The 9052-nt window shown below is 37.0% G+C and overlaps 1 annotated feature.

Moving 5' to 3' along the window:
* Nucleotides 4706-5281: an enhancer, noted in NCBI's record as "OCT4-NANOG hESC enhancer chr2:34590940-34591515 (GRCh37/hg19 assembly coordinates)". NCBI's record gives its function as "activates a minimal SCP1, AML or CMV promoter by ChIP-STARR-seq in primed H9 embryonic stem cells {active_cell/tissue: H9 hESC(primed)}" and the evidence as "EXISTENCE:reporter gene assay evidence [ECO:0000049][PMID:30033119]".

Consider the following 9052-nt stretch of genomic DNA (forward strand, 5'->3'; position numbering starts at 1 on the left):
GGCCTCAAAAGTAGTAACAACAGGAATGATGACAATTTAATAGTAATCACTACCATCAATGTATTATTTTGAGCTTCAGGGTAGGAGGAGGAGACGGGTGATTGCCATTGATTTAGCTCCTCAATTCCCATTGAGAACTTTCCATGTGACCATCTGCCACCTCTGAATTCTAAATTATTACTGGGCTAATAATAATAATAATTTCCTCATCTGTTTTTAACCCATCTTGTATCTTCCTTATTTCCTGTCTCATAAATTATTAGGGCATTTCCCAGAGTTTCTTTGCTGCACAGTCATCATTATGAATAACCAGATGAGAATATCTTCTCTGGCCTAATTTTCAGAAATGCAGACTCTGGGTATGTGTTAGAAGAAAGGGAGCTTGGTGGCTGAATTCCTATCAAGTCCTTTCACATCCTTGGCTGAATGACATCTCCAGTTTTCTCTGGGCAAAGAAGTTAGTTTTTAGAATACTTGTTCACAGGCTTATTTGGGAAATAGGCATGAAGGATCTTCTGGTGCCTATAGTCAATAATAATTTAAAATGTTATATTTCACATATTTTGAGCAAAATATTGAATGCCAGTTTCACCTAATGGATTCATTTTCTTTTCAGAAGTTTAGACTTTTTGGAAGTAAACCTTATGAACATGAATAGAGGATTTTCCTGTCCCTATATTCCAGAGATTTGGTAATTTTAAGATTTCAAATGAACAGCTTTGAAATTACATGTTGTTTGTGCACTGAAAACAGCTGGGTATCATGTCCTCTAGCTCTAAGTTGCCTTTCATTAATAACCTATCGCATCTGACTAGGACTGCGGGAAATGAAAGTATAATTCTGGCTAAAGGAATTGGTAGAAATAAGTCATAAGCCCTAGAAAAATGTTGTAACTGTAAGTTTTATCTGTAGCGAAACTATATTAATAAAGTTACTAAAAGTAAAAAGTCATTTACAGCTTGCAGTTGAGGAAACTGTTTTTGTAGGAAAGCTCTTTCCTCAGAATGTTGAACTGGAAGATGGCTCGGTGGGTGATAGGACTTCAGGTGCTGGACAAATGCCAGGAGACTCACTCCGTTAAGGTGTAAGTGTGGAGCTCATGAACATTTGTATCCCATCAAGTAGAAAATTGCTATTCCACCTTGCCATATAAAGTTGGCCAAATGTCTTCCTACTGTTTTTCATTTGTTTAAACTTCTCTAATATGCAGCTAATTTTCTAATTATTATAATATGATACATTTAGCAATAATATTTTGTGAAACTGGCCTAAGTAATTCCTCTTGCAACTGGAGACTGGACAAAAGTTATGGGGGAAAAAAAACAGGAATATTAAAATGATTGTATTAGAGAAATGTTTTCCATACAGGTGTGGTGCATTCTGGATACTGACTCAGGGACTCTGGGCATCTTCCCAGAGACACCCCTAGATATAAAACTTGATGTAGCTTCTTGTAGTTCCTTTATTTCCAACTAGGGCATGGGACTCTTGGCAAGGCTCTGAAGTAGAAAGTACCCTTTATAGACAGATAAAGAAGTACAGACAATCTGATAGTGTAAAGGTGGTTGGGGCATTTGTCTTTTAGGGAAAATAATCCACATAAAACCACCTTTCTCATAGTTTTGTATGTTTAGGGAGAGCCCAATATTTTCAAAAAATGTTTGAAAGGCAGTAATTCCCCAGTGCAAGCCTACATTTTTATTTTTACCTATTATGTACCTAGTTAGCTTTCTGTAACTTCAAGAATTTGTCCTTATTTTCACCTAGCTAATGTGAAAATTTCATGCATTTATCACTTCACCTCATCACCACTGCAATTCTTTTGTTTTTTTCTTTCTGTTCAGTGATCTTTTGTTTTAGGAAAAAGGAGTTAGATTTACAGCCTTGGCAATCAAAGGTGTCTCTTTTAAATAACAGAATAAATATTGTATGGATAGTGAGAGTGTTTTTGTAACTGCAGGCAAGGACCTGTGTCTGCTCCTGTGGTCTCCTCAGCAGGCAGATTTCTGCTAGCACTTGCTGACATTTTCCATAGCAATAAGAGCAGCCAATAAAACAAGTGAAGACCATTGTGTGGCCGAATGGGATAAATGCATAATAAAAAAAGAAACCATAATTAATTCTTGTCTTTGGGATAATGGAATCAGAACCTTGGTGCAGAGACCTCCCTCTACCCCATGAATCATCAGTGTTAGACTTACAGTGCTTTGGGATGTTTTCAATATAATTTGGTTTTGTCGGACATTATATATATAAAATAGAAGATCTTGTTTACAGTACAATTTTAGATCATCTTGGAAGACATTATGTATAAAACAAAACTCTGCTTTAAACAGTAATGGTTAAATTATTAAGCAACGGAAGTGTAGAATTAGTAGTGCAGAAAGTAATGACTTGTGAAAATAAATATAATTTAAAAGCTATCGAAGCCCCCAAAACACTTTAAGCCTTGAGAGAGATGTGACTGTGATCTGAGTCACATATGGCTACAACTTCTATTTCTCAGATTATAGATTACTTCATTTTCTTATTTTCCTTGTTCTGTACAATGACTAAAGATAATTAAATGATGTCAGGGACAAAAACCTCCTGCCTTCTTAATTAACGACCCTTGCTATAGATTAACTTCCCCTTTGTTGTTCTGCTTTGCTTAAACCAGATGACAGAAAACCCATGGCTATTCCAGCCTCTGTAAAAAATGTTAAATGTACCCTTCCCCAAAAGAAACACTGCCTATAACCAATCAAACTGCTGTAACGATGAGCCAAGTTTGTATGAATACCTGGTAATCCTGCTAAAAACTCTATGTCTGCCTATAAATGTTAACTTCCCTGCTTGGGAATGCTGACTCCATTCTTTTAGAGTTGGTGTTTGCAGGTGGGCTTTCCTCAAACTTTGCACGTGCATAAACTCTCTTTAAATTGGATTCTGACTATTTTGATAAATTTAGGGTGACACACATCAAGGATTCAGAGTCAGAAAGTTAACATGGGGACAAGTAGACCAGAAAGCTTCATAGGAATAGATAGCGCTTGACCTTAACCTTGAACAATGAGTGGGCTTCTTGATAGATACAGAGGGGAAAATGATAGAAGCCCTGAAGGTACAGATAAGAAGGGGTTCAAATGAAAAGAGTTGGTTCTCAGGCAGTAACAAGATCACCAACACTTGCTAGAGCAAATGGAATCCAGCTGTGGAGACCTAATAGCTGAGGAAGTCGACCTCTGCTTTGTGGAGTGGATAATGGTTAAGTGGTAACTTTTGAAAGTATTTCTTTTTTTCTTTTTTTGGCTTCTCTGAACTGTGAGAGACAGGGTGATAATTTCCTTTTAAGTAAGTTAAGTAAGCAGAAGTGTTTAAGAATGTAAGACCTTGAAAGCCAATATTGGAGGGAATGAGTTGGCTGTGATGGTTTGCCTGAGGACACTTTGAAGGTAGAATTCATTTCATCTCAAACTTTTCACACTTGGAAATGTCATTTCTGTAAGATTGTGTTAAAGGATCTTGAAATCATTTAAAAAATAGAGACAATAAAAATCCCATCACTGTGCCAAATACTCTACTAGGTGCCTTACATAACGTTATAAGTTAGCTCTTTGCAGCAACTTTATGAGGTAGATGTTACTATGCTCATTTCACAGATAAAAAATTTTAGCTTCAAAGAAGTTATTTGGCTTGCTTGACATCCCAGAAATATGAGGTGGCAGCGCTAGGCTTAACTTCAGGGGACTCTGCCTTTGCATTCATGCTCTTGAGTTATGTGCCATGGAGAGTGGAAAACAATGGACGGTGATCTAGAAGCTTATATATTTTTTTCATGGAGGAGGATCCTTGCACACATGAAATTAAGCCAGACAAAGATCTGAGATAGTACATAACTTAGTGCTCTACTTCAAGGTCAGGCTACAAGTTATTGTCAGTAGCGAGATGAGGTTTCTACTTGTTTCTCCTTCAGTCAACAAGCACTGCTATAATTCCAATTGTGCATATGTGTAAAGTTTACAGGGCACTTTAAAAAATGTTTTAAAATAAACTTCACAAAAACTCATGAATAAGAGGTGGCGGATGTGCATTTTTTTCCACTTTCTTGGAAAGAAAAACTGAGATTCAAGAGGTGCTAAATGGCGGAGTTGGCAATCAAATCCAGTTTTTGTTACTAAGTCTAATGGCATGCTTAATTTCTACGAAGTGTCTGATTGCCAGCACTATGTAGCAATTTTGGCTATTGGAAAGATGACTGAATATGATCTGTTATCTTTGCATTGTATCTGTTCATTATATCTATTGCAGCTTCCAATTTGTTAAAAATTTTGTTTAAAATATTTCTCTCCTTAAAATAACTTCGTTTTTCTAACCCGGTAGGGTTCATATTTTCTAATTAGCTATTCTTGGGATGATCCTCGAGTTAACATTTCTAATTTCTTCTATTCTTTTGGTTCCTAGTTTTAAGATTTCTCTATAAATGCAAAACCATTACCCCTTATGTCAAACAGGATAGAACAATGTTGGCAATGCTGATGAATGAATATGAGAAGTAGGAACCTGGTGTCAGGGAAAGAATCTGTAGGTCCTGTTTCTTTTTGCACAAGTCTAGTTAAGGTTAGTTATTCATTGAATAATTATATTTCATTGAAAGGGCAGAAAAACAACACAGACAAAATCCTGGTTCCTTAAAATGTGCTGTTCTTTCCTTATGGGTAAGGTCCTCCTTTCAGAACTAAATGAGGTTACAAATTGAACTTGTATTTTAGCTTATTAAAGACTTGGTCTCACTTTTAGCACTCAGGACCCTTGGAAGCCTTTGAAAGCCTCCTGCTGCTTTTCCCACAACCTTTGCACCATGACAGCCCGGCCACACTTATCTCTGCCTTGTAGAGCTATGGGAGAAAGTCAGGGTCAAATCATTAGGCATTTGTTACACCAGAAATCAGCATCATTGTAGGAGGTGGGTGACAGCCCTTTTCTGGGAGGGAGAGAGAGAAGGGTATGCATTTTACATTCCCTCTAGTGTAATTTGAGACCACGCCTGCAGGGTCCCCTGCTGCTGCATTCTTCAATGTTTAATCCCTTGTCTGGGGAAAAGCCTACAGCAAAAGCCTCAAGCGTTCTCCTATCACATCATAAGCAGGGAGACTTAAGAATCCTGAGAGGTATTACTACTGGAAGAAAAACGGAAAATGCAGTACAATCGTCCTCAGCGTTAACTACGTTTAAATGCATTCAGCAGTCATACACTAATAATAAAATGAGGAGAAATTTCTTCAGTGAGAAACTATGTTCTGACTCTGTGATTCAATTAAAATGATTTAAAATGAAGTAGGAAAGATTTCCTGTGGCTGTGCGATATCACAGGGCTTCATGCAATTGAAAAGGAAAAATGCAAACACACTAAGAGTATCTGGAGAAAACACATGAGGAATGAATATCAAAGAAATCAACAGGAGAAATCACCTTCCCTAAGTATAATGTCAAGGAAACTCTATTGAAAAAAAAATATTCATAATATCTCCTTCCAGGGGAATATGCAGAAGCAAAGGCAAGCATTTTTAAGACTAGCAAAAACTACACTGGAATTTAAAGCGAAAATTAATAATCTAGCTGACAAAGACCTACGGAAGGTGTTTATATGTTCCATAGGGGAAATAAAATCAATGAAAGAATGAACATATTGCATTTATACATAACTCATGTTTTACGGCATTCTAGTCTCAACACTGTATTTTTGTTATTCCAAATGATTAAGGACCCACTGTAGCCCATTAAGTTTTTCGTGAGATGATGATATGGTAGAATGACAATGAATATTTTGCTGCTATTCATGTTGAGAGGCTTGGAGAGTATACTGGTTGCATGCTTCCAGAAAAGAACAATAAATACTCCTTGCAGGTTTTATGAATTTACTTTTTCTTTAAGGTGGCTTAAACATGTATTTTTAAAAGAATGGGGGTCAGACCTGGCTGATACTCAGCTGTAGGTCCAGTACAGCTGAACAGTTTGTTGATAGCCAGCATCCTTTCTCATTGGTCAGTGCCTAGAAAGAATCAGCTAAATATTTAGAATATAACTCTGAGACAGGGCATATAGTGAATTTATGCCTCCTTTATTTATAATGTGATATAATATGAATTATTACAGCATGTTTTGGTCACAGATCATAAGAGTAGCACATTCTAGCTTCACATGAAATATTGCTTACTTCAGATAGAAAAAAGATATTTGTTTTGAGCTTTACATCTTTTTCTTAAAGAAAAACATCTATTACTGAATATTGAATGAGAAAATAAATATAATATTTTCACTGCTTAGTTATGTTTAATTACTTAGATAATAAATATCTTTCCTTATCCTTAGAGTAAGTATACTGTCTTGTACAATGATATTAAGAACAATATTATTTTAATGTTTAAAATTGTAATTACATATATTCTTCTTTCATTTAAAAGTTTTCTGAAACAAACAAAAAAGACCCACTAAATCTTATAAAATTAAACTGTATTTGTGATTTATTTGTGCAGAAAACATACACAATAAAGTCAAAAATTAAACCTTCCCATGCATAATAATTGTCAAGAATCTGGTAGTATTAAAACATTGAATATTGGACATGAGCTTTGAATTGTTTCTCTAATAGTGATGATAGTTCTTTGCTTCTCATTTAACATGATTTGACTGAGTACCAAGGGAATACCAGATGCTATTGCAGGCAATGAGATTATAGAGGTGAGACCCATGGTCTCTTCTGGATTTTCAGATCTACATTGGGGTCTTTTTTGGGTTTACAAATCTATTCCTATCCTTTCATTACATGACTTTGATGTTTTTACATACTGTGACAGAGATCGATCAGCTCAGAAAGAGTATTCTATTACTGTACAATTGGATAGTAATAATCGTAATGACGTGGGCAAATACTTATTAAATGCTTATTAACATTTGGTTCTAAATGTTTAATTTTACTTAATATAAACAAAATACCTATGATAATGTTTTGTTGCTCTTCCCATTTTATAGAGAGGAAACTGAGAGAAGGTCCAAGTTCAAACAACTTGTAAGTGCCCGAACTGGTGTGCAGAATTCACTGTGACCTGGATATGCATTGATGTAAATTCTAACCTAATAATTCAACCAATCAGAGAACCTATGATATCAGGACTGTTGCATGCATGGATGTTGTCTCTACCCAAATAGATTGTCACCTCTTGAGGAATATTTCTTCTGAACTGTCTCAAGAGATTAACTCAGTCTTGGGTGACAGAGAACCCTCCTGTGTGCATGTTGGTCAAGCTGCAGGGCTCCCTCCCCTGTGGTTAGCTTATGGCCCTCTGGAGGCCTATTGAATCGGAGCTAGGTCTGGCTCTGCAAGGTTTCCTGCCCCTCAGCTAGTGTTTCCCAGAGGCATCAGGCCTTGCCTTTGGAGATGGTGCTCTCCTTTGAGAAGTTTTACTGATATTTTGCTGTTATAGTACTTTTCAGTATCTGCTTTTTCTGCATCCTGGCTCCCTACAATGTAAACCTTCTTATTCCCCTTCCTAGCAATTTCTTTTTCTCTTTCAGCTCTGTGCTCTTGGAAGGGTTTTCATGAGTGATTTGCTGCTATTTCTGAGATTCTCAAGTGCTTAGACTAACTAACTAACACACCCCTTTTGATCTCTTAGGGACTCCCCACATATGGTTTTGTGCTCCTCATCTTGGAGGCTGCGGGGCTGTCTCCTCTTTCAGCTAGTTATTCTTCCAGTTAGTTTCATCACATGGTATCTCCTCTCCTTTTGGAAGAAAGTGTTGTCTATTCGGGTTCCACCTTTGGTTCCACTTCATCTCCTGCCGCTCCTGCTACATAACAGCTGATTCTTCACTGGCCCTGTTGCTAGAGGTTGACGGGTTGAGGGCGCTGGCCACAACTGACTGCCCATACCCTGGGGTTTGGTGACATGTCATCTGTGGCTTTCTGCCCCTCTTTCTTGATCTCATCTGAAGAAAATTATTTTTATTTCTTTCCTAAAAATAGATTTCCTGTTCTCGCTTCATCAATGAAATTTCTTCCCTTTCCTCTCTGAAGGTATTAATGAGATCTTTTCCTTCTTTGTCTGCTGTTCTGCATATTCTCCTTTCCTTCAAATTATTTATTTTGTGTTCGATTTGCTCACTATTTATCACATTATAAACTTTTATCAGATAGTTGGAACCTGGCGAACCTAGGTTGTTTGCTCTGATTTACGAATGGGCATCATGAAAACAATGAAAGTCTTTTGAGTGTGTGTGAGTTTACCCATTCTGAGCTTTAAGACAGGGTAATTGCTGCCTGGCCTGCTTTCTTGAGGAGGCTGTGATGTCAGTAATTTTAGGTACCTGCCTAGAGCCAGTCACGTTTCTTGGAGAAAGACCCTCTCATCTCTTCTCTGAAGGAAGTAGACCTAGCTGCCTTACCTGAAAGCTGAGTGAAGAAATGGAGTTAGGATATTCATGTTTCTTATCACCCTGTTGATAGTGTGGTGTCCCTGACATCAACCTATCCCTGAATTCTGAAATCCTGTATGTTACCCTCTGCAGCAAATGAATGTCTAGTATTTTAACAAGGTAGAGGAGAGGGAACTAAGTCAGGGAGGAGATGTGATTACATCTTGAAAAGTCTCTCTGTTTTTCAGCCCCACCTTCATTTTTTATTGCAAATTTCCCTGGTGCCCCAATTCTTTGAAGGAATCAGCGGTGCAGTTCAGAGTGTGTCTCTGTTTTTCTGACTGCTAAGACAGTTTTGGGTTTTGTTTCTCAGCCTCTAATATTTTATTGCTCTTGTCTCTTGTCCCATTTTGTTGCCTTTGTGGGTTTACGGTGTTTGAGAACAATTTTTATTGTTGTTTTAATGGAATGGTTGAAGGGAAGCAAAAGTAAATTCATGCATTTGGTTCACCACCATTATGCAAAATGAGCTCAAAATTGGCACTGTGATAAATACCCAAGAATATAAAAAATGTGTACCTTTACAAATTATATATTTTTTTGCCATTTTGAGGACAAAGACTCCACATCTTTGAAACATTTATTATTCTACCTTCTG

The sequence above is a fragment of the Homo sapiens genome, chromosome 2 (genome assembly GCF_000001405.40).
Source record: "Homo sapiens chromosome 2, GRCh38.p14 Primary Assembly".
Lineage (NCBI taxonomy): Eukaryota > Metazoa > Chordata > Mammalia > Primates > Hominidae > Homo > Homo sapiens.